At 44.2% G+C, this 25,271-nt stretch overlaps 1 non-coding gene across 1 annotated transcript, besides 7 other annotated features; it reads right to left on the bottom strand.

The window, feature by feature from the left end:
* Window positions 207-356: an enhancer, noted in NCBI's record as "active region_24808". NCBI's record gives its function as "activates an Ori minimal core promoter by ATAC-STARR-seq in GM12878 lymphoblastoid cells {active_cell/tissue: GM12878}" and the evidence as "EXISTENCE:reporter gene assay evidence [ECO:0000049][PMID:35858748]".
* Window positions 5,348-5,397: an enhancer, noted in NCBI's record as "active region_24807". NCBI's record gives its function as "activates an Ori minimal core promoter by ATAC-STARR-seq in GM12878 lymphoblastoid cells {active_cell/tissue: GM12878}" and the evidence as "EXISTENCE:reporter gene assay evidence [ECO:0000049][PMID:35858748]".
* Window positions 5,478-5,537: an enhancer, noted in NCBI's record as "active region_24806". NCBI's record gives its function as "activates an Ori minimal core promoter by ATAC-STARR-seq in GM12878 lymphoblastoid cells {active_cell/tissue: GM12878}" and the evidence as "EXISTENCE:reporter gene assay evidence [ECO:0000049][PMID:35858748]".
* Window positions 6,659-7,323: an enhancer, noted in NCBI's record as "NANOG-H3K27ac hESC enhancer chr6:88445010-88445674 (GRCh37/hg19 assembly coordinates)". NCBI's record gives its function as "activates a minimal SCP1, AML or CMV promoter by ChIP-STARR-seq in naive H9 embryonic stem cells {active_cell/tissue: H9 hESC(naive)}" and the evidence as "EXISTENCE:reporter gene assay evidence [ECO:0000049][PMID:30033119]".
* Window positions 10,708-10,857: an enhancer, noted in NCBI's record as "active region_24805". NCBI's record gives its function as "activates an Ori minimal core promoter by ATAC-STARR-seq in GM12878 lymphoblastoid cells {active_cell/tissue: GM12878}" and the evidence as "EXISTENCE:reporter gene assay evidence [ECO:0000049][PMID:35858748]".
* Window positions 16,730-16,789: an enhancer, noted in NCBI's record as "active region_24804". NCBI's record gives its function as "activates an Ori minimal core promoter by ATAC-STARR-seq in GM12878 lymphoblastoid cells {active_cell/tissue: GM12878}" and the evidence as "EXISTENCE:reporter gene assay evidence [ECO:0000049][PMID:35858748]".
* Window positions 17,480-17,589: an enhancer, noted in NCBI's record as "active region_24803". NCBI's record gives its function as "activates an Ori minimal core promoter by ATAC-STARR-seq in GM12878 lymphoblastoid cells {active_cell/tissue: GM12878}" and the evidence as "EXISTENCE:reporter gene assay evidence [ECO:0000049][PMID:35858748]".
* On the bottom strand, window positions 21,597-21,700 carry LOC124901528 (small nucleolar RNA U13). The gene has a single exon (XR_007059959.1). It is a non-coding gene; the product is annotated as a small nucleolar RNA U13 (small nucleolar RNA).
* Between the last annotated feature and the right edge of the window lie 3,571 nt (window positions 21,701-25,271).

Here is a 25,271-nt window from a genome sequence, read left to right as displayed (position 1 = left end):
AGTAGCTGGGATTACAGGCACCCACCACCATGTTCGGCTAGTTTTTGTATTTTCAGTAGAGACGGGGTTTCACTGTGTTGGCCAGGCTGGTCTCGAACTCCTGACCTCAGATGATCTGCCTGCCTTGGCCTACCAAAGTGCTGGGATTACAGGCATGAGCCACAGCACTTGGTGTCAACTTCTTTGTGCTGTCTACTAGTGACACTAATAGAAAATGGCAGAAGTGACAGTGTACTTCAAAGATGAGGTTATCAGCAGCATTATGGTTTCCTGTTTACTCTCTTCCTTGGATCACTCACTGTGAAGGAAGTCAGCTGCCATGTCACGAGGACACTCAAGCAGATCTATGAAGATGACTACATGGCAAGAAAGTAAGGCCTCCTGCCCACAACAGCCACGTGGGTGAGCCATCTTGGAAGTGGCTCCTCCAGTCCCAGTCAGGTCTTTGGATGACTGCAGCCTCAGCCAACATCTTGACTGCAACTGCATGTGAGACCATGAACTAGAACCATACAGCTAAGCCACTCAGAATTCCCAACCCCAGAAACTGTGAGGTAATAAATGTTTATCATTGGTTTAGATCACTACCTTTTGGGATAATTTGTTATACAGCAATAGATTCCTAATACCCCAGATGAGTATCAATTTGCTCTATTGGCAGGTGGGAGGCATCCAAATAGAACTGAAAGGGTCCCAGTGAGTGGTTGAGTATGGCTGGAGTGTAAGACATGTAGTTGTGACTCTTAAGCTTTTAGTGTATTAGCAAATGCCCTAAGTATTCTTAAAAGTGGAATTTCCTTAAATTAATGAATATCGTTGGCCAGGTGCAGTGGCTCATGCCTGTAATTCCAGCACTTTGTGAGGCCAAGGCAGGAGGATCATTTGAGACCAGGAATTCAAAACAGGCCTGGGAAACATAATGACACCCCATCTCTACAAAAGAAAAGAAAAAAAAAAGAATATTGTGGAATATGGCTACTCACTGCACTTTGGGGGAAAAAAATTAAATTTTTTGCCGTGACCTGAAAGCTACTTCTCTAGTTCACCCTGTGTCACAGTCCTCCTTGCTCACTACACCTGAATCACATTGGCTTTCCTTATTCCATCTCCCCCCCAGGAGTTCTGTGCACACAGCTGCTTCTGTTTAGATAGCTCTTCTCTTTACCTTCCCTCTGGCTGACTCCTGCTTCTCTTATAAGACACAGCCTGCATGTGCCTTCAAGGAGATCCCTTTTCTGACCATCACAACTGTTGTTCTTCTCCGTAGTGCTTGTTTGTTTCTTCCATCAGAGGAATTACTCTCCAAACTCATGTTATTTGTGTTATTTGTCTGTTTGCATGTTTTTGTCTGTCTTTCACTCCAGACAGTACATTCCACTATGCAGGGGCCACTTGTTGATTGCAGTATCTCCAACACGTGGCATGGTGCCTAGCGTGTGGTAAGTGCTCATAAAATACTGATTGTAGCTATCTTCCCCTTCCTCTTGTGTAGTAAAACCTTTATATTAGGTATTCCAGTTTCTTTTTTGTTTTGTTTTATGAGATGGCGTGAGCCATCACGCCCGGCCAGATATTCCCGTTTTAAGACTATTTGTCGGCCAAGTATTCCCATTTTAAGACTATTTGTCGGCCGGGTGCAGTGGCTCACGCTTGTAATCCCAACATTTTGGGAGGCTGAGGTGGGCGGATCACCTGAGGTCAGGAGTTCGAGACCAGCCTGGCCAACATGGCAAAACCCCATCTCTACTAAAAATATAAAAATTAGCCAGGAGTGGTGGGAGGTGCCTGTAATCCCAGCTACTTGGGAGGCTGAGACAGGAGAATCGCTTGAACCCGGGAGGCAGAGTTGCAGTGAGCCAAGATCATGCCACTGCATTCCAGCCTGGGCGCAGAGTGAGACCCTGTCTCAAAAAAAAAAATGTAGATTAAACATCTTGGCAGCAATACTTCAGATACAAGGCTGTACAGATACAAGGCTGATACAAATACAGACACAAGGCTGTACTTCATACATACATATATATATGTATGTAACTCACATGTATCATATGTATATATGTATTTATGTATATCAAGAGGTACATAATTTAGTGTCTCTCTTTTGGTGATGCCAAAATTGGTCACTGGGTTTAGGTGGTAACTCCCAGATTTCACCCTGTAAAGTTGTGTTTTTCCCCTTCAGAGTGACTGCCAAGCCATCTAAGGAGTGATCTTTTGCCATCACAAATTGGAGACATAGTAATATCCCACCCATAAATACTTTAGCATATGTCATTAAAATGTAAAAACATTTTCCTTCATAGCTAAAATAATATTATCTCACTGAACAAAATTAATACTAACCCCTTAATATCACCTAACATTCAGTCCATGTTCAAATTTTCTCCCAATTCCCAAAATGTCTTTTATATCTGATTTTCCAAACTGGGATCTAAACCAGAGAAGCCAATTTTTAAATGATCATAGGAAAAACCTTAAAATATATATTACCTTAGATACAGACTTTTCCTTTTAATTTCATATTTTATCCACTAGTTAAAAAGAAATGTTGGCCGGGTACAGTGGCTCACGCCTGTAATACCAGCGCTTTGGGAGGCCGAGGTGGGCGGATCATGAGGTCAGGAGATCGAGACCATCCTGGCTAACACAGTGAAACTCCATCTCTAGTAAAAATACAAAAATTAGCTGGGTGTAGTGGAGTGCGCTTGTAATCCCAGCTACTCAGAAGGCTGGGGCAGGAGAATCGCTTGAACCTGGGAGGCGGAGATTGCAGTGAGCTGAGATCGCGCCATTGCATTCCAGCCTGGCGACAGAGCAAGACTGTCTCAAAAAAAAAAAAAAAAAAAGAAAAAAGAAAAAAGGAAAAAAAGAAATGTTATTGCTGTCATTGCAGTAGGTGAATGTCATATGCATGTAGTTAGGAAATTTACAAATCCTGTTCTAAAATTTTTAACTGAACCGGGTGTGGTTCAGTTTATAGGCTCACGTCTGTAATCCCAGCACTTTGGGAGGCTGAGGTGGGCTGATCACTTGAGTCCAGGAGTTCGAGACCAGCCTGGCCAACATGGTGAAAACTCGTCTCTACTAAAAATACAAAAATTATCTGGGCATGGTGGCACACACCTATAATCCCAGCTACTCGGGAGGCTGAGGCACAAGAATCACTTGAACTCTGAAGGTGGAGGTTGGAGTGAGCTGAGATCACACCGCTGCACTCCAGCCTGAGCCACAGAGCCAGATTCTGTCTCAAAACAATGAAAATAAAAAAAATAAAAAAATAGAATCCTCATCTGGCAGTTCTGGTTCCAAAAAAGTAAAATAAAATTTATCACTAATAACATTATATCCTCATGATTTTTAAGTTCTTACTAACGATAAAGAAATATTAAAATCACTATAAGATTGAAATATGTTCATTCATAAGTTGAATCCAAGTAGTAAATCTTGCCCAGTGGCTAAGAATCAGAAACAGAATCAGCGCCTTGGGTGTAAGCACTATCTCAGCAGAAGAAAGAGGGAAACTAGTAGCTAGGTTCACACTAACATCAAGGATGAGAGAAATGATACATTTCGACTTCTCAGTGAAGAGGACTGGGAGCTAAAGGCTTACAGAATCTCCTTTCTCTTTATAATGACACTTTAAACTTTCCATGCCTTCCTCCGAGTCTGTTCATTTTACTAAAAGAACAAAGAGTATTCATTTTCACATCACACCCTGCCCAGGTGTGGAAATTAACAAGTCAAAGTGATATTTCCAAGATATGAAATCATGTATCTTTCATCCCTTTGTACCCGCAAAGTATCTGAGCTATGCAAAGACAATAAACTACAACTTTATTTCTTATCAAATATTTCTGATGAATAAGAGGGAAACATTCATGTTTTAAATTAGCCTTTTCATTAAGTACTAGGACTTATGTTATTTAAATGAAGCAAGAAAATTTGTTCATAATTTTTTGTTTCTGTTTTTTCTTCTTTTTTTCTTTTTTGAGATGGAGGCTCACTCTGTCGCCCAGGCTGGAGTGCAGTGGCACTACCTCAGCTCACTGCAACCTCCGCCTCCCAGGTTCAAGCGATTCTCCTGCCTCAGCCTCCCCAGTAGCTGGGATTACAGGCGTGTCCCATCACACCCAGCTAATTTTTGTGTTTTCAGTAGAGACGAGGTTTTACCATGTTGGCCAGGCTGGTCTCGAACTCCTGACCTCAGGTGATCCACCCACCTCGGCCTCCCAAAGTGTGGGATTACAGGCGTGAGCCACCATGCTTGGCCTTGTTTCTGTTTTTTGGTCTGAACGTTAGTGGTCACTTGTTTGATCAGTAACACTGAAATATGTCACAATCATAACTCTCCTTTTATATAGACACTTTAATCCTGAGACCACAAAAATCTTTATAAGAATCTGTTTGCAGGTAATATTGGTCACTTTGAAAATAGGAAAGCTGAAGACAGGAAATTGCCTGCACACTCAAAAGTACATGAGTCAAGAAGCAAGTCAAAACTAAAACTAGGTCTTATCAGTCTCAGCCTTGGCCTGATCAAAGTCTGAAGGACTGACTTTATATCTTAAAGATACTTTGTTCTTCCTAGTCTCATGATATTGACCCAAAATATTTTGTGTACTTTATCACTAAGGTAATGAGTTCTCACTTGATATGTAGACCATTTTTTCTATAATTATATGAAACATCTATACATAAATGAATCAATGGCATGGTTTACATGTGTGTTTATTTTGTCTGTTTCTTTTTAGTGACTAGACACATCCAAGAGACAGAAGAGTCTATATAGTTAGGAACAAAAGAGAAACAGACATTGATCATTTTGATAATTTTTTGATAATTTATTGTTCTGTTCTCGGGCTACAAAGGTAACATATTTGTTGTACAAATTTTGAAAACCTAGGAAAAGCACTAAAAGGCAAATGCAAATTAACCATTTTCCTACTTCCCTCTCTTAGAGAGAGCTACCATTATCATTTTTTATTTATCTTAATAAACTCCTTCTCATGCATGTACTTGTCACCTATTATGTGGAATCTCCCTGTCCCTAAAGACGTAGATAAATTTTGCTCAAATCTCTTTCCAAGGCTGTGGAAAGTCCAATAATCTCCTAAACATCTCTAAATTCTTCCAGGCTGGGGGCAGGTGGGAGAGTGAGGGGAATTTGAAGAGGGCTGTCACAAGACACCTTTAACTGATTTCTTGCCTCTACTGATTCCTATACTCTGCTCAGGCAGTCTCTTTGTGGTTTACACTCACACACTAAATGTAAGGCCCTGCTGCGTCAGACTTTACTCAAGGCTTGAGAAGATTTGAGAAGATGGAGAGAACAATAGAGGTTTATTGCAATATAAACAACTTACAGTTGAATATTTAATGTCCTGTTCTTAAACTCTCTTAGTTTCTTTTTGACAACTTGGACTGTAGCCTCTTGACATTTTGCTGGGCTCTTTTTACATCTTCACTGACTGCCTTGAACCCGTCTACAACTCTACTCCAAAAAACACCTCTTTCCGTTTTGTAACACTAAGCTATTCAGCTTTATCTGTATCTCTAATTTGGAGTCTAGGGGCAGAGTGCATAGGTTAAAATCCTGAGACTTGTTCTTGGGCTAGTAAACTCTCTAAGCCTCAGCCTTCTCATTTGTAAAATAAGAATATTGGCTCTCCCTCTCCCTCTCCCCCTCCCCCCCTCCCCCTCCCTCCCCCCTCCCCCCCTCCCCCTCCCCCTCCCCCCTCCCCCTCCCCCTCTCCCCCTCCCCCCTCCCCCTCCCTCTCCCCACGGTCTCCCTCTCCCTCTCTTTCCGTGGTCTCCCTCTGATGCCAAGCCGAAGCTGGACTGTACTGCTACCATCTCGGCTCACTGCAACCTCCCTGCCTGATTCTCCTGCCTCAGCCTGCCCAGTGCCTGTGATTGCAGGGGCGCGCCGCCACGCCTGACTGGTTTTCGTATTTTTTTGATGGAGACGGGGTTTCGCTGTGTTGGCTGGGCTGGTCTCCAGCTCCTAACCGCGAGTCATCTGCCAGCCTCGGCCTCCCGAGGTGCCGGGATTGCAGACGGAGTCTCGTTCACTCAGTGCTCAATGTTGCCCAGGCTGGAGTGCAGTGGTGTGATCTCGGCTAGCTACAACCTCCACCTCCCAGCCGCCTGCCTTGGCCTCCCAAAGTGCTGAGATTGCAGCCTCTGCCCGGCCACCACCCCGTCTGGGAAGTGAGGAGCGTCTCTGCCTGGCCGCCCATGGTCTGGGATGTGAGGAGCCCCTCTGCCCGGCTGCCCAGTCTGGGAAGTGAGGAGCGCCTCTTCCCGGCTGCCATCCCATCTAGGAAGTGAGGAGCGTCTCTGCCCCGCCGCCCATCGTCTGAGATGTGGGGAGCGCCTCTGCCCTGCCGCCCCATCTGGGATGTGAGGAGTGCCTCTGCCCGGCCGCGACCCCATCTGGGAGCGTCTCTGCCCGGCCGCCCCGTCTGAGAAGTGAGGAGCCCCTCCGCCCGGCAGCCGCCCCGTCTGAGAAGTGAGGAGCCCCTCCGCCCAGCAGCTGCCCTGTCTGGGAAGTGAGGAGCGTCTCCGCCCGGCAGCCGCCCCGTCCAGGAGGTGGGGGGCAGCCCCCACCCGGCCAGCTGCCCCACCCGGGAGGGAGGTGGGGGGCAGCCCCCGCCCGGCCAGCCGCCCCATCCGGGAGGTGGGGGGCGCCTCTGCCCGGCCGCCCCTTCTGGGAAGTGAGGAGCCCCTCTGCCCGGCCGCCACCCCTTCTGGGAGGTGTACCCAACAGCTCATTGAGAACGGGCCATGATGATGGCGGTTTTGTCAAATAGAAAAGGGGGAAATGTGGGGAAAAGATAGAGAAATCAGATTGTTGCTGTGTCTGTGTAGAAAGAAGTAGACATAGGAGACTCCATTTTGTTCTATACTAAGAAAAATTCTTCTGCCTTGGGATGCTGTTGATCTATGACCTTACCCACAACCCTGTGCTCTCTGAAACATGTGCTGTGTCCACTCAGGGTTAAATGGATTAAGGGCGGTGCAAGATGTGCTTTGTTAAACAGATGCTTGAAGGCAGCATGCTCGTTAAGAGTCATCACCAGTCCCTAATCTCAAGTACCCAGGGACACAAACACTGTGGTAGGCCGCAGGGTCCTCTGCCTAGGAAAACCAGAGACCTTTGTTCACTTGTTTATCTGCTGACCTTCCCTCCGCTATTGTCCTATGACCCTGCCAAATCCCCCTATGCGAGAAACACCCAAGAATGATCAATAAAAAAAAAAAAAATAAAAAAAATAAAGCTTCTACAAAAAAAAAAAAAGAATATTGATAGAACCTCCTTCACACGCAAAGCACTTAGCTCATCTCCTAGCACACTGAGTAAACGTGAGCTACTTTCATTACTATTGGGAATATTTCATCTGGGCTATACAGAGCCTGGAGAACCTGTCTGGACTTCTGTTGATTACCCCTTTCCAGTGCCCAGAACACTTATGTAAAGGGAGAGTGAGGCTTTGAGATTAAGAACACACAGTCTGGGGCCAGGCACAGTGGCTCATGCCTGTAATACCAGTACTTTGGGAGGCCGTGAGGGGTGAAACGCTTGAGCTCACGGGTTTGAGACTAGCCTGGGCAACATGGTGAAACCACATCTCTACAAAAAATACAAAAATTAGGCGTTGCACGGTGGCTCACGCCTGTAATCCCAGCACTTTGGGAGGCCGAGGCGGGTGGATCACAAGGTCAGGAGTTCAAGACCAGCCTGACCAACATGGTAAAACCCTGTCTCTACTAAAAATACAAAAATTAGCCAGGCGTGGTGGTGTGTGCCTGTAATCCCAGCTACTCAGGAAGCTGAGACAGGAGAATTGCTTGAACCCGGAAGGTGGAGGTTGTAGTGAGCCAAGATCGTGCCATTGCACTCCAGCCTGGGAGACAGAGCAAGACTCTGTCCCAAAAATAATAATAATAATAATAATACAAAAATTAGCTGGGTGTGATGGCACGTGCCTGTAGTCCCAGCTACTTGGGAAGCTGAGGTGGGAGGATCACCTGAGCCCAGGAGGCAGAGGTTGCGGTGAGCATTGATTGCACCACCACACTCCAGCCTGGGTGACAGAGTGAGACCCGTCTCAAAAACAAAAACAACACATAGTCTGATGCTGGAATGCCCGTCAACCATAACTGGGGTACAAGATGTTTATTAGGGATCAACACCTGTGGAAGGCAGGGGAAGGAAGCAGGATTGGGCTGAAGCAATCAACCATCCTGGTTTGTATGCAACTGAGGGTTTACTGGGGCAAGGAATGCTAAAATCGGGAGATGACTGAGTAAACTGGGACAGTGGTCACTCTCGTTGAGGAAACTGGTTATAAAGCCTGTGAAGGAGGATCTAAACAGTGAGGATCTGGACAGTGCATCTCTGTGTCTAACGAAAGCACCAGTTTGTGCCTGGGTTTTCTTATCTGCAAAATGGCAACAATAATGGTAAATGCCTGACTGCATTGTTGTGAAGGTTAAATAAGTTGCCATGTGTAAAGTGATTAGAGCAGTGCCCACACAGTAAGCTCCTAAGTATTAGCTATCTTGCCAGATCAAGTGTCCTCCTGTCAGATCCTGAAATTCTTGATCTTTGGTCTCCTTTGTCAAACCACCACACTAGTGTTCATCATTACCTCAGTCTGGTTGTAATGTACAACCAGACTGATTAAATTTGGATTCATGCTGGTTTCTTGATTACAGCCAAAACACTGGGGTAAGAGGGTCTTCCATTTCCCTCTCACTCCCATATTTTGACTGATTCAGGAGACCCCCTCAACTCCTTGTGCTATCCTATTTCTATTATTGAATAATGGAAAGAATTAAGTGAGGAGAAAAGTGACACAGAAGTAAGGGCAGAAGAAATAATTTTTATTTATTTTATTTTATTTTTTGAGACCAAGTCTTGCTCTGACACCCAGGCTGGAGTGCAGTGGCACAATCTTGGCTCACTACAACCTCTGCCTCCCGGGTTCAAGCGATTCTCCTGCCTCAGCCTCATGAGTAGCTGGGATTACAGGCACGTGCCACCACACCCTGTTAAGTTTTGTATTTTTAGTAGAGATGGGGTTTCACCATGTTGGCCAGGCTGGTCTTGAACTCTTGGCCTCAAGTGACCCACCTGCCTTGGCCTCCCAAAGTGCTGGGATTACAGGTGTGAGCCACCACGCCTGGCCCTATTTATTTTCATTTTTATTTTGGAGATAAGGTCTTGCTCTGTCACCCAGGCTGAAGTTCAGTGGCACATTTGTAGGTCACTATAGCCTTGAACTTCTAGGCTCAAGCAATCCTCACACCTCAGCCTCCCAAGTAGCTAGGGCTACAGACTCACACCACCACACCCAGCTAATTTTTAAAATTTCTTGTAGAGCTGTTTTTAAATTTTTTGTAGAGATGGGGTCTTGCTGTGTTGCCCAGGCTGGTCTTGAACTTCTGGCCTCAAGTGGTCCTCCTGCCTCAGCCTCCCAAAGTGTTGGGATTACAAGTGTGAGCCACTGTGCCTAGCTGATTTTTTTTTTTTTTTTTTTTTTGAGACAGAGATTCGCTCTTGTTGCCCAGGCTGGAGTGCCTGGCATGATCTCAGCTCACCGCACCCTCTGCCTCCCGGGTTCAAGCAATTCTCCTGCCTCAGCCTCCCAAGTAGCTGGGATTACAGGCATGTGCCACCACGCCTGGCTAACTTTGTATTTTTAGTAGAGACAGGGATTCTCCATGTTGGTCAGGCTGGTCTCGAACTCCCAACCTCGGGTGATCCGGACGCCTTGGCCTCTCAAAGTGCTGGGATTACAGGTGTGAGCCACAGCACCCAGCCTGAATTTTTAAGTTAAAAGTAGCTTTCAAAAAAAAAAAAAATTAAGTATGAGACTTTGGAAGCCAGAGGGGGATGCATAAAAGGCAGAGTGACTAAAGATCATTTTTAGCCTGGGTAACTTTTGTGATTATGAAGCTGATGAAATAAATGATCCTCACTCTGACTTCTGTTTTCTCCAAAATAAACCATGTTGTGTAATTCCATCAGGTGATCACTGGTTGCTTGTTCCTCCATTCTGAAGAAGCTAAAGCTACTAAAAGTCATGTGAATCACTTTATGAGCAAGAGCAGGAAAGAGCACTAGGTTAAAATTTGGAGTATGACATTTTCAGTATGAGAATACTTCCCTCCCCAAAGAGTTGGACACAAATTACTTTTTATAGCAGCCCTTGGCTTTTCATTTAGCCAGGAGGGAAGTATGAGGTAGCAGGGCTCCACACCCTTTTACCTGGATGACATCCCTCTGTGTCATTTAAACAGATGCTACTTAGAATAAGGAGGTGGGTTATTTACTCTCTATTCTCATCACCTGAACTAAAGCAAGCACGCAAACAAGCCAAGCAAAAGAGCAATCTTAGAAGTCATTTTTTAAAATGCCTAGACCTCTTTTGGCTTGTTCTTCTGTTGAATTCCAAGCATTATTTGTCTAGGTTCCCTTGCCTGAACTGTTGGCAGCAGAGGTGCAATTTTATCCTTGAAGTAGGGTGTTCCGCGGGCACTGAGCCAATGCAGTTGGCTCATTCACTTCCTTCCCTGCTATGTTTCTTCAGGGCTTTCTACATGTCAGAAACCTATTACGCAATGATTCAGAAGAGGATACAGGAAGTATTGTTCCTACTGTAACATTGGCTGCTCACCTCTCTCTAGCCCAAACTGGTTTACTTCACCAAGGAAGCCACAGAGTTTTCTTCATTTCAATTCCTTTCTGATTTCACAGTTACCCATGATGGAAATCTGAAGTAGAAAGGACTTCGGCCAGGTGCAGTGGGCTCATCCCTGAATCCTAGCACTTTGGGAGGCCAAAGTGAGATGATCGCTTGAGCTGAGGAGTGTGAGACCAACCTGGGCAACACAAGGAGATCCCTGTCATTACAAAAAAATAAAAAAAATTAGCCGGGCATGGTGACACACACCTATGGTCCTAGATACCAGGCTGCTGAGGTGGGAGGATCACTTAGACCCAGGAGGCTGAGGCTGCAGTGAGCTGAAATCATGCTACTGCACTGTAGCCTGGGCGACAGAGTGAGACCCTATCTCAAAAAAAAAAAAAAAAAAAAAAAAAGGCAAAAAAGAAAATGCAAGGTGGCTCACACCTGTAATCCCAGCAGTAGTTTGGGAGGATGAGGTGGGTGGATTACTTGAGCCCATAAGTTTGACACCAGCCTGGGCAACATGGTGAAACCTCATTTCTACTAAAAAATACAAAAAAAAAAGCTGGGCATGGTGATGCACACCTGTAGTCCCAGCCACTCAGGAGGCTGAGGTAGGAGGATCACCTGAGTCCAGGAGGTCAAGGCTACAGTAAGCCATGATTGCACCACTGCACTCCAGCCTGGGCCACAGAGTGTGACCCTGTCTCAAAAAAGAAAGAATAATTTGAAAAAGAAAAAGTAAAAAAAAAAAAAAAAAAAAGAAGGACTTCCATGTCCACTTTGTGGGGAAAGTGATTAGGACTTTTGCAGCTTCTGATGGAGAGCCTGGGCTGTCTGTCATGCAGGGCAGGGCTGCTTGTCTGATTTCCACTACCCATGCTGCTGAACTTCTTTTGCGCGGGGGGCCCGGCTAAGCCCTGTCCTAAGGACAGGCACATTCACGTGTTTCCCTTGTGGAGGTGTTGGTGTGCATCACTGCATCCTTTCTCACTCTTCTGGTTCTTCTCAAGAACCAGAGCACACAATTCCTGTCCTAAAATCTTATGATTTGAGGCACCTGGCCCAGGTTAGGGATGCCTACTCTGCATCTCTTTCCAGGAATCATGCAGACACCTTGATCTCAGAGCCCACCCAACTGTGTGAACCATTCCCAGGAAGCCTAAAGATCCTGTTTCTTTGTAATGAGCCAGACCTGCCTGTCCTTACAGGCATCTCCACACAGGCTCAGGGTTCTGATCAGAACAGTAATGGGGCAAAGGGGACCTGCACTGGAAATGTGTGTGCACAATCATGACAGAGGATGGTCTCTGCGCAGAAAGCCTGCCAGAAACCAGAGGGAAGAGAAAGAGAGAGCTGCAGGTTCAGACTTCTCCCTTCTATCATGCGACTCAAAGATCCTCTTACCAGCTGGAGGGGTGCCCAGCCCAGCTTCTCATTCAAGGACACAGGAGATAAAATGACTGGGTTGGTGTTTAAGCAGATGATTCACTCACCTTTTTATAGTCAGGAGGACGCAGGAAAGTTTTATTCTTTCCATACATTTTGTACTTTATCCTTACATTCTATTGATTAAAATGAGAAAAATGAAAAAGAAAGCGCAATATCTGGGAAAATTCTTTCATATGCTGCAGACTCAAATTTATTGTATCCCCATAAACCAAAATCATCTTATCTCAGAACTGCTTGAGCTTTATAATTAATGCATTGTTAAGGTTTCACATTGACTATACCTGTACCATGAGACTTCTTATATCCTACAAAGATGATTGGATAGATTCAATATCTTTTTCCCTCACTACCTCTTTTTTTCACTCTCCACTTTCAATATAACCACTGCTAAATGATCTGACAATCGATTTCATATACATAAAAACATGGTGCTTAGTTCCATGTTTTTATGTATATGAAACTCTGGGGTGTAGGGGAAGAAGACGTGTAAGAAGGTATTCTGGCAAAGACACGCTGTGTCAGTTCCCTCTGGATGTTTTGTAAAACTGGTTGTGAGAAAATATAAGAGAGGGTAGACACTGCATGACAGTGATGGAAACAGGCATTGATGAAGGAACCATCTCCCTGAAAGCCATCTATCTTCCAAGTACATCCTGAGTCACGTTTCTCCTCCACATCTCCTGCTATTCCTCCTCATGTAGCTTGCCTGCCTACCACATCCTCAAGATTTGTCTCTTTTCTCATCTAAGGTTCAGCTACAGATACGAAGAGTAAACTGAGACCCTCAGATACCTTTTCCATGGTCAAAGCTCCCCAGAATGCATCTTCAACTTGAAATCAAACTTAAAGGGCTTACCTGCCTTCCCTGTAAATTCTTTTGGGCCACTTGGGCAGCTTGTGAAATCTGTCCCTCAGAACATTGCTGGGTGCCTCTGTCACATTCACCAGTTTTTCCTTTCTTTGTCCTTTGATGACTTTTGAAAAATGTACAAGGGTTCACTATACAAGGGGCAAACCATGTTTCCAAAAGACATCATAAAACTGAATCAAAAAACAAAACAAAACAAAACAAAAAAAAAACAAAAAAACAATGAAAATCTTGTACCTACAGAACTCTAAGGCATTTTTTGTAATTTTTCTAGAGAAGAGATGTTTAAATGCTATATGCAGAACTCAATCTGTGGACATAATATTGGTTTATGATCTTTTATGAACCATAAGCTGGAACTGTTAAAATAAATTCAGGTGGACAGATGCCAAATGACAAAGCTGGGGTGGAAAGTGGTGGCAAGAAGGGATTTTTACTGCTCCATTTCCTCACAGAAAAACTCCACCCAATAATTTCTGCAAAGCAAGACTAAAATACATTGAATCCTCTGCTGATCTCTAAAATCTTGAGCTTCTGCATTAAGGTGAGGAACATATCCTGATTGAAGTCATTAAAATAAACACTGGTACAAGTGCCCGGAGAAAGCTGGCAGTGGTACTGCTGAGAAATTCCCTAATTTGTTCCATTTTCCTAAGACTCAGTGCTTGTGCTGACATTCAGAATCTACGTGCCAAAGAAGTTCCTGTATTCTGTTAACAGACAAATACACTGGGGTGTAGGAGAAGAAGACGTGTAAGAAAGTATTCTGGCAAAGGCACACTGTGTCAGCATAAATTTTATAGGACAAGTTGACTGTTTTAGGCCATACTTTTCTAGTTGTTGAAAAATACCATTATAACAACAACTGTGAAACATTGAAAAATAAAAATAATGCTTCAGAAGTCCACCAGCTTGATCCTAAACTGTTCTGACTGGCTTGAATGATGACTAGGTACAGCCAGTGATATCTATTTGCAGATGTCAATTTGTGTGACTTGATTTGCACGAGGGGAGAGGAGAGAGAAGCCTGTGATTTGGAAAAAGAATAAAGAAACAAAAAAGAGCCGAGCACAGTGGCTCACGCCTGTAATCCCAGCACTTTGGGAGGCCGAGGCAGGCGGATCACGAGGTCAGGAGATGGAGACCATCCTACTAACACAGTGAAACCCTGTCTCTACTAAAAATATAAAAACAAAAATTAGCCGGGTGTGGTGGCGGGGGTGCCTGTAGTCCCAGCTACTCGGAAGGCTGAGGCAGGAGAATGACGTGAACCCAGGAGGCGGAGCTTGCAGTGAGCAGAGATCGCGCCACTGCACTCCAGCCTGGGCGACAGAGCGAGACTGTGTCTCAAAAAAAAAGAGAGAGAGAGAGAGAGAAAGAAAGAGAAGAAAGAAAGAAATAAAGAAGGAAGGAAGGAAGGAAAGAAAGAAAAAGAAAGAAAGAAAGAAAGAAAGAAAGAAAGAAAGAAAGAAAGAAAGAAAGAAAGAAAGGAAGGAAGGAAGGAAGGAAGGAAGGAAGAGAGAGAGAGAAAGCAAGCAAGCACCCTGTTTGATTCCTCAGCTCATTCCCAGTACACACCTCTGAGCCCCAGAGACAAAAGGGCTTCATACAGTTGTTAAAGGAAGCATTTTTATGAGAGACATCTGTAAGGCAAATGGGCCTACATTGTGGTGCTGGGTCGAGGGGTGACATGGAGTGAAAGCATTAGGAGGCAGCACACATTTATCGTGGACAACAGTCTTGTCATGCTTGGCACTGACATAGGTATGGACCTGCAAATGGCTTCTTGGGCCATAGCCAACAACATAGGAGGCAAAACAGAGGAATATGAGAGAACTGTTTGTGAGCACATATGAGATCATCCTTGGGGATTCTGGGAGAGACATCGGGTGAGGCTGGAAAACCTGCATTATGTAGGTTGAAACAAGAGCCAGTAAAATTTAGGATTTGTCATTAATGTGACCAAATTGGCTGGGCACAGTGGCTCACACCTGTAATCCCAGCACTTTGGGAGTTTGAGGCTGGTGGATCACCTGAGGTCAGGAGTTTGAGACCAGCCTGGCTAACATGGTGAAACCCGTCTCTACTAAAAATACAAAAAATTAGCTGGGCCTGGTGATGGTGATGGGCACCTGTAATCCCAGCTACTCAGAAGGCTGAGGCAGGAGAATCACTTGACCCCGGGAAGTGGAGGTTGCAGTGAGCTGAGATTGTGCCACTGCATCCAGCCTAGGCAACAAGAGCAAAACTCCATCTCAAAAAAAAAAAAAGTGACCAAATTTATATCTACAGGCTGGGGAAACATGATGAACAAGAAAAATAAATCACTTTTTTTTTTTCTCTAGACGGAGTCTTGCTGTGTTGCCCAGGCTGGAGTGCAATGGCGTGATATCAACTCACTGTAACCTCCACCTCCCGAGTTCAAGTGATCCTCCTGCCTCAGCCTCCCAAGTAGCTGGGATTACAGGCGCCAGCCAGTGCACCCAGCTAATTTTTGTATTTCTATTAGAGATGAGGTTTCACCATGTTGGCCAGGCTGGTTTCAAACTCCTGACCTCGTGATCTGCCTGTCAGCCTCCCAAAGTGCTGGGATTACAGGCGTGAGCCACCATGGCTGGCCAATAAATCACTTTTAAGACTTTTTTTTTTTTTGAGATGCAGTCTCACTCTGTCACCCAGGCTGGAGTGCAATGGCACAATCTTGGCTCACTGCAACCTCCGCCTCCTGGGTTCAAGCGATTCTCCCACCTCAGCTTCCCAAATAGTTGGGATTACCGGCACCCGCCATCATGCCTGGCTAATTTTTTGGTATTTTTGTGGAGATGGGGATTTCACCATGTTGGCCAGGCTGGTCTTGAACTCCTGATCTCAGGTGATTCTCCCACCTCAGCCTCCCAAAGTGCTGAGATTACAGGCGTGAGTCACCGTGCCCGGCCCACTTTTGTCTTTCAGCCTAATGTAAAATCATGAATATAGGTATATTGTTCAAGATTTTTGGTTGTGGCTGGGCATGGTGGCTGACGCCGGTAATCCCAGCACTTTGGGAGGCCGAGGTGGGTGGATCACCTGAAGTCAGGAGTTCGAGACCAGCCTGACCAACATGGTGAAACCCAGTATCTACTAAAAATAAAAAAATTAGCCTGGTGTGGTGGTGTGCACCTGTGGTCCCAGCTACTCAGGAGCCTGAAGCAGGATAATCGCTTGAACCCGTGAGGCAGAGGCTGCAGTGAGCCAGGATCGCACCACTGCCCTCCAGCCTGGGTGACAGAGAGAGACTCTGTCTCAAAAAAAAAAAAAAAGATTTTTGGTTGCAAACAACAGAATCCACTCTTGCTAGTTTAAAAATAAAATGAACCGGGCGTGGTGGCTCACGCCTGTAATCCCAGCACTTTGGGAGGCCGAGGTGGGCGGATCATCTGAGGTCAGGAGTTCAAAACCAGCCCGGTCAACATGGTGAAACCCCATCTCTACTACAAATACAAAAAATAAGCTGGGCGTGGTGGCTTGTGCCTGTAGTCCTAGCTACTCAGGAGCCCAAGGCAGGAGAATCACTTGAACCAGAGAGGCAGAAGTTGCAGTGAGCTGACATCACGCCACTGTACTCCAACCTGGGTGACGGAGTGAGACTCCGTCTCAAAAAAAAAAAAAAGAAGGAAAATAAAATAAATTGAAAGTATTAAAGGGTATTAGATAGCACATAGACTGTCTGGAAGGGCCAGAGAATCATGTTCTGGGCTACTTGGCAGGAAGTTATATCCAAATCATACTGCTGGACTGTTATAGAAGAGAACGCCGCTGGCGTTGGCACTGTGGCTGCACTAACTCTCTGCTGGGGATACCAACACTGGTGCTGGGCCATTTCTGTGCCACTGGCAAGCTCCATAGCTTCACCAGAAAACAGATTCTGCATGACACCTGCTTTCTCATGGTTTTTTCTTCTGCATTCAGTGTTGCATGGCTACATCTGATTGCAGAAACTAGGTCACATGCTTGCATCTTGGCCGCAAATAAGACTAGAATAGAGAGTTCTAGTTTCACCTTGAAAAACAGAACTCAAAATATAGAAATTCCCTTGATATTGGAAGGGCTTTTAAGAGATGATAAGAAGCCACAAACATAAAAAGTGTCTGCTAGGGCAGGCACAAAATGATTAGGCCACCAAACCCTTGAAAAGCAGCAGGAGGCCTCTGTTTGCAAGGAGACTTCTGTTCATGATTGGAACAGAAAACAGCCATAAAAGGATTTTTCTGTAACAAAAAAAAAGTCTTGCAGGAGGCACTCAATCTATAAATTGTTTTTTTCCCACCAAATGCAAGGAGAGATTCAAGGTCTCTCCCTCACACCTTGGCTTTGGCAGGTATTCCCAGAAGCTTTGCAGACATTATTAGCACACTGGAGGACAGTCATATCTCCACCTTGACACAGATTTGGAAAAGAGTAGGCAGAAAAAAAATGAAAGCAATTTAAATGTAGTTCTTAACATTTGTGTGGTGCAAAGCAAAAGATCTCCATACCAGAGTTTAAGTAACTGCAGACAGAGAGACTGAGAACTCTATAATCAGTGGGTCCCATCAGTTGAGAGTGCTATGGACCAGCACAGAAGTAGATCAGCAAAAGGCACAGAATCTGGACAATATAGGAACAAATTCTGGAACTGAACTAGGACAGTGACATTACCTTAGCCAAAATCCTCTAAGGCAGAAATGCTCAATAGATTTTATCTTACGTACCAAGATCTATGGTTGTGGCAACCTCAGTTACCTTGTTAAAGACTACCAAGAGGCTGGGTGTGGTGGCTTACGCCTGTAATCCCAGCATTTTGGGACGCCGAGGCGGGCAGATCACCTGAGGTCGGGAGTTTGAGACCAGCCTGACAAAATGGAGAAACCCCGTCTCTACTAAAAATACAAAATTAGCTGGGTGTGATGGCGCATGCCTGTAATCCCAGCTACTCAGGAGGCTGAAGCAGGAGAATCGCTTGAACCCAGGAGGTGGAGGTTGTGGTGAGCGGAGATCACGCCATTGCACTCCAGACTCCAGCCTGGGCAACAAGAGCGAAACTCTGTCTCAAAAAAAAAAAAAAAAAGACCACCAAGAAAAATGTCCTTATGTAAACCCATTTTCACATGGTTGATACTTATAAGGTTGATACTTACAATTTCGTATTCTACCTTTTTCCTCATTCATTGAATCAAAAACGTCTTTTCATGTTGTTTAATCTTGTTAATTATCCCTTTTAACATCTGCATAGTATTCCACCAGCTGATGCACTCTAATTTACTCAACTATTTCTCCATTATTTTATACTAGGATTAGCTCTAATAATTTGAGAAAGATAAGTAGAATTTTTAAAATAAATTCTTTCTGTTATTCTAAAGAGATTAGCACAGAAATAGTACCTGAGCTTTTCACGGATATGGTCATGTCAACCTTGGGCCTATAGAGATTCCACAAGTACCTTTAAAGGAAAAGTGGCTTTATGAGAAATCAGGCTCCATACTTTCTTGGAAACTTTAAGCAGAAAGACTTTAGGAAGTCCTGACATATGTTCCCAAGATGGCAACTACATACTACAATAAGACCTCTCTTCCTGAACTGAATATCTCTAAGATATCCTTGGGGAAAGAGACCCAGAATGGGGCTGGCTCTCATTTGCAGTTCTGAAAACCACTCACCTTGAAAGCTCAGTCTCCGGAGTCTGGATAATTAGTGGCGAGAATGCCGAAAGCTGCTCAGCCTGTTGTGGGTTTTGAGATAAAACCTCAATTTCCATAATCGTCATAAAGAGCAGAATAGTCTTTCTACCCCAAAATATATTCAATATGAATTGTGAAGTGTCTTAGGAAGAATTTGCATGCAAGGAACAGAATTCCACTAACTCAAATAAAAAGAGGGTTGATTGAAAGGCAGAGGTTATTATGGGGGTCACAGTAAGCCAGCGCTGGAGATACAGCTGCTGGGCATTATAGGGCCAAGAAGGGGATTATGCAGATTTTATTTCTCTCTCTCTCTCTCCTCTGCCTTTTGAGGTACATGGCCTCTCTATTTGACTCTGAGTATCAGTCGGCCCCATCTTTGTGCTCTTTTGTTTGCAGATGAGCTTTTTCTGCTGACTCATGGTTTCTCAGCTTCCCTTCACTGTGGCTAGCATGAGGTTTTGGCCTGCTGTGGCAGGCCAGCTGGGCATGACCTTGCAGCTTGGCTCCACACAGCTAAATGACTCAGCCTCTTTGTCCCTATTCCAAATTCCTGGGAGAGAATTCGATCAACCCAGTTTGAGTCAGATGTCTACTCCTGGGTCAGTAACTGAGACTGATGGGGCACAGTCACATGGCAGGTAGTACTCTCTCTTCCAAGTTAGGAGCGGGGTAGAGTCTCCAAGGCAGTATATGGGTAGGGAGGAGGGAATGTTTGACATCTCTGGGGCAGATATGGGGCTGAGAGAGGCATGCACGGTTGTGATTAAAAAAAAATGCATGGGGTTTGGAAAAAAAAAATCTGCCATTTCGTAGTCATGAAACTATAGACAACTTTCCTAATCTTCCAAAGACTCATGTCCTTAATATGTAAACTGAACAAAATGACCTCACAGCTCTCAGGATCTATTACTGCTATTTTCATTTTAGGAATCTCATAATGTAAGGAATGACCAACTCTAATATCGACAATTTGGCAGGTTTTATATGAACAAACATTGAAAAAATTGTCTTTGCAGTAAGTCCAATGGTGTATTATTACCAACGTTACCATTACTGTAAACAGTTTTGGAAGGCTGCTCACATGTGCTAACAATGTTGAAGTCCCCAGCTAGGCATTCAGCAAATGTTTCTTGCTTAGGGGGGATTTCTAAAGGAAGAGGAAAGCAGACCTTCCTCTGAGGTTTGCCTGTTAAGGTGTTAGAGGCTTGAAAAAGTAATGTGGTGAATAGATGCCTCCATTTCAACAGAAGATTCACTCAGTTCTAATGCTGAGGGTGAGCAATGCTCTAAAATGCATTGTTGGTGAACTGCTGCAAATAAAGAAAAAAGACTATGTTAATTGAAATTTCTATCTATGCCAAATTAATACAACTATCCTGCAGTGTATGAAACTGAGGCATTCCTGTAAAGTTGTCTACAAAGCAAGATTAGTTTTTCCCCATTGAAATCCATTGTGGCATTGAACGTTTAGTATGTTCCTATGAAGAAAGGAAGGATCCAAAGGGAAACACTTAGAAAAGTAACAATTATCCTGGTGAGGATCTTAATTTCTCAACCTACTCAAGTTTCTTTTAAAAATCTGGGCATCCGGCTGGATGTGGTGGCTCACGTCTGTAATCCAAGCACTTTGGCGGTGGAGGAGGGGTGGGGAGCGTGGATCACGAGGTCAGGAGTTCGAGCCTGGCCAACATGGTGAAACCCTGTCTCTACTAAAAATACAAAAACTAACCAGGTGTGGTGGCACGTGCCTGTAGTCCCAGCTACCCAGGAGGCTGAGGCAGGACAATTGCTGGAACCCAGGAGGCAGAGGTTGCAGTGAGCCAAGATGGCGCCACTGCACTCCACCCTGAGCAACACAGCAAGACTCCATCTCAAAAAAAAAAAAAAAGAAAGAAAGAAAAAACATCTGAGCACCCATACAAATCCATGTTTGATAGCAAGTAAATATGTCTCTGGAATTACCCCAGGCCACCTCCAGTTTCCCAGCTGGGCCTCTAGGTCTTCCTATATCCAAGCCCTCACTCGGTTGCATACCTCATTTCTCATCATTTACCTGCCTCTTCTTTTCATATATAAATGTAAAAATATATTATTTTTGGCCTTGAGCTGAAGAGTTAAATTCGATTTAATTAAGTTCATTAATTCATTTATAGCAGAAGAGAAAGGCCCTTGGGTTGCAGGTAAGCCAAATTCTTCAAATAGGATGGTCCTTAGGCCAGGTGTGGTGGCTCATGCCTGTACTCTCAGCACGTTGGGAGGCTGAGGCAGGAGGATCACTTCAGGCCAGGATTTAAATACCAGCCTAAGCAAGGTAGTGAGACACTCCCCCATCTCTACAAAAAAGTTTTAAAAATTAGCTGGGCATGGTGGAATGCATCCTGGTTCCAGCTACTTGGAAAGCTGAAGCAGGAGGATTGCTTCAGCCCAGGAATTTAAGGTTGCAGTGAGCTATGATCATGCCACTGCACTCTAGCCTGGGTAATAGAGTGAGGAAAAAAAAAAAAGGATAGTGCTATATACTCTGTGGTGCTCCTCTGACTTTTCTCTTGTCTAACCTAGAGAGCTCCTCCTAACAACCCCAGGCCCTGGGCAGGGGCAGACTTTATTGCCACCTGCTATGCCTGATTGTTACTGGGAAAATATTGGATTTTTTGTTTTCCTTCTTTAATTTTAAAATAGTAGGTATTTTCCTTTCACATATGAAATCTGTACTCTTTTTTCCTCCCAAAATTGAATATCTCACTGCTTTTTCTTCTGATTATAAAAGTAATTCATGCTTAAAAAAAATTCAACAATATGAAAAGGGATAAAGTGGAAAGTGAAAACTTCCCATAATTCCATTCCCAGAGGCCACAATTATTAGTTTCATATGTTTTTTCATATCAGATGGGTAATATGCCAATGTTGTAACAAGGTTTGAGGATGGCCCATCTCACACATGTGCATGATCACCCAATCATCTTGCTCATGAACTACAAAAGGATCTAATATGTATTCTTTCAGATACATATTACACACACACACACACACACACACACACACACACGCAAATATATATATGTGTGTGTATACATATATGTATGTACCCCGAATATACTATGTATAGTACATAATACATACTCTATATGTTAACAAAAATGGGGTCATATTATCCACTCTTTTCTGTGCCTTGCTTTTTTTATTTTTCTGAGATAGAGTCTTGCTCTGTCACTCAGGCTGGAGTGCAGTAGCATGACCTTGGCTCACTGCAACCTCTGCCTCTTGGGTTCAAATGATTCTCGTGCCTCAGCCTCCCAAGTAGCTGGGACTACAGGTGTGTGCCACCATGCCTGGCTAATTTTTGTATTTTTAGTAGAGACAGGGTTTTACCATGTTACCCAGGCTGGTCTTAAACTCCTGACCTTACGTGATCCACTTGCCTCTGTCTCCCAAAGTGCTGGGATTGCAGGCATGAATCACCATGCCTGGCTTTTTTTTTTTCTCTACAATTTGTCATATACATTTTACATACCGATCCATCTCATTCTTTATAATTTTTATAATGGTCTCTCAGCATTCTTTTGTACCATAATCTCTGCCCTCCGCTGAAGGGCATATAGGATGTTCTAAGTTTTTCTTAAATACTGAAATACTGCAATAAACATATATGTAGATATATGCCTATGCATGTTCTGATTATTTCCTTAGGATAAATTTGTGTAAGTAAAATAACTGGGTTAAAGCTTATGCACATTTAAAATATTAAAACATAATGCCCAATAGGACACCAGAAAAATCATATCACCTTCCTCTCTTAGCAAGTTTCCTTCAGTTACCTTTATTTTTCATTGTTGCCAATCTGACAGTCCAAAAAAAAAATTAGTACCTCACATTGTTGTACTAATTTGCATTTCTTTGAATATTAGTGAAGACGAGTATCTTTTCAAGTGTTTGTTAGCCATTTGGTTTTTTTCTTCTACAAATTGTTTGAAATTATGTGTCTGCACTACTCAATCTGTTTAATCCCCCCATCCCATATATACGTACATTTGATTGAGAGTATCAGGGGCAGGTATGTGATAGGAGCTGAGCCAATAAATTCCCTCTTCCAGGAATTTGGGTTGGAGAATAGGGCACCTCTAGTCTGCTGTATTTAAGCCAGGAAATCATGCAGTGCTGTCTGGGTCAACAATTTTTTATCATGTACATCATAAAAAGGAGAAAGTAGGTTTGCAGAATGAAAAGAAACAGGGATACCTTGGAAGCAGAAGAGATGAGGGCTTGTGGCCTTGATCACATCCTTTCTCCAGGCCTGTGAGAAAGTTCTGTGTCCTTAAGCTAGTTTGATTGGATTTCTGTTAAGATAAGCAGTATCACAAGTTCTCTTCATAGGAATGTTAGGGTGGGGAGGGAGGAAATGGTTTTGAAAGAATATTCTGATCTTTATTTTCCTCCCTCCTGGTTCCTAAGAAGCCCAAAGAGACCCTAACAAATCTGGGATCCCAAGCTTTGAGGCAAGCCAAAGCAAAAAATTGCACAATGGACCACATGTGTCATCACTGTATTACTCCTTCAACTTGCTCTTCTAGGATTCCCCATCTGATCAGTTGCCACTCAGCTCCCTGTCAGCCTGATCTCAATACTGCAGCGTTACCATAGTATTGGCTCTGTTTATTGAGCACTCACTATGTACTTGCTAAGTGCTTTGCATACATTAATTATTTGACCATAGTGCGTATATTATTGCTCAATTTGACAGAAAAGGAAATGATGGCTTAGGGAGGTTTAGTAAGTTGCCCAAGAACACTCAGCTAGAAAGTGGAGGAGCAGGTTTCCAGTTTCTGCTGTCTGATTCTGCTATACCTCCTGCTCCAGGCCAGCTTGGCGACTACAGCCCAGAACTTAGGGGACATTGGCTTCTAGGGCAGAATCGTGGTCTCCAAGATTACGACTTCAGGCGCCCTCTTACTACCACCTTCAGATCCTTGTCTTTCTTAGAACAGGAGGTACACTAATAACCTAGCAGCTAGCACATTTCTGGCCACAGGCAGCGCAGCCTCCCTGCCCACTTCCAGTGTGAGGTTTATGCCGGGACCCTTTGTTGAGTAAGCAAGCTCTGAAGGTTGTGCAGGTACGTCCTAAAGATGGGCTGGGTTTAACAAAGGTGTACTCACTCTCCTCTCTACACTGTCTTCCCTTAGACACAGGCTTCCCATCCCCCCTGTGGTCTATGTCCTCTATAATAATGATAGCAAACACTTATATAGAGTTGGTCATTCAAAGCCCTCTACATATACTAGCTCATTTGCTCCTCATATCAGCCCTTAGAGTTAGATACTATTAATATCCCTGTTTGGGAGGCCAAGGCAGGATGATTGCTTGAGGTTAGGAGTTTGAATCCTGCCTGGGCAATATAGTGAGACCCTGTTTTTACAAAAAATTAAAAGATTAGCTTGGCATGGTGGCATGTGCCTGTAGTTCCAGTTACTTGGGAGGCCGAGACGGGAAGATCACCTGAGCCCAGGAGTTTGAGGCTGCAGTGAGTTATGATTGTGCCACTGCACTCCAGCCTGGATGAAATGGATGATAGAGTGAGACTCTGTTTCTGAATAAATAAGTAAATACAAAAATAAATAACCATCCCTATTTCAAAGATAAGGAAATGGAAGCATAGACAGGTTAAGTGACATGCTCAAGGTCACACAGCTAGTAAACAGCAGCCAGGATTCCAACCCAAGTATCAGACACTCCTTTGAGTAGTTGATGAAAGCTAAGACTTGCTCCTTAGAAAAATGCATGTATTTGTGATTTTGTATAGTGTCAGGGTTTCATGTCAAGGAATCCCCCTATTGTAGGTCGAGCACTTTGCATAGGAGGGCTCAGAAAATTTAGATGTCCTCAGGGGCCAGGCAGGAATGTTAATGAGTGAAGGGGCTAGATGTGAAGAAAGACAGTGGGCCTGCAGAGTTTTTTCTTCCCAAAAGCACTCTGATGAGAACAACCAACCAAAGCAAATCCCCTATACTGGACCAGGAAAACTCACTTGTAAGCTGACCTCAATCAACTATTATACAATCAGTTGGCGCTTCTGTTAGAACACAGCATAGGCCCTTATTTGCTATAGACTCCCAGCAGGTCTGTCTGGTGATCCTAATATTCTGGTATGTTGAACTGCTCTCCCAGCTCAGGGTGGACCTACAGCTTATTCCAGGCAGAATCCCCCCATATGAACTCTAGAGCTGATTTCCACTTGACTTTCACCAAACCTCTGGGTATCCAGGACCCCAGCTACTCTTACTTGGGCTTCTGATGGGCTAAGGATGTTTTGAAGGTGCAGTTGTTCAGGTTGCATGAGGCAAATGGTGTTACTCCTGCAGACAGTCATGAACATGGAGAGGGAATAGCTGGCTCTCAGAGACTCTGGATTTAGGCAATGGCAGTTCCCAGCTCCCAGGTGGCTCCTGGACTCTGGAAGATGGCCCACTGTAGCTGAGATGTGTCTGGTTTCTGTCTTCCTGGCCTCTTCAGCCCAGTCCTCTCGTTTTTGATCCCCTAATCTCCCTCTTGTCTTTGTTC

Source organism: Homo sapiens, chromosome 6 (assembly GCF_000001405.40).
Source record: "Homo sapiens chromosome 6, GRCh38.p14 Primary Assembly".
In the NCBI taxonomy this organism is placed as follows: Eukaryota; Metazoa; Chordata; class Mammalia; order Primates; family Hominidae; genus Homo; species Homo sapiens.
This window is presented reverse-complemented; position numbering and strand designations above follow the sequence as displayed.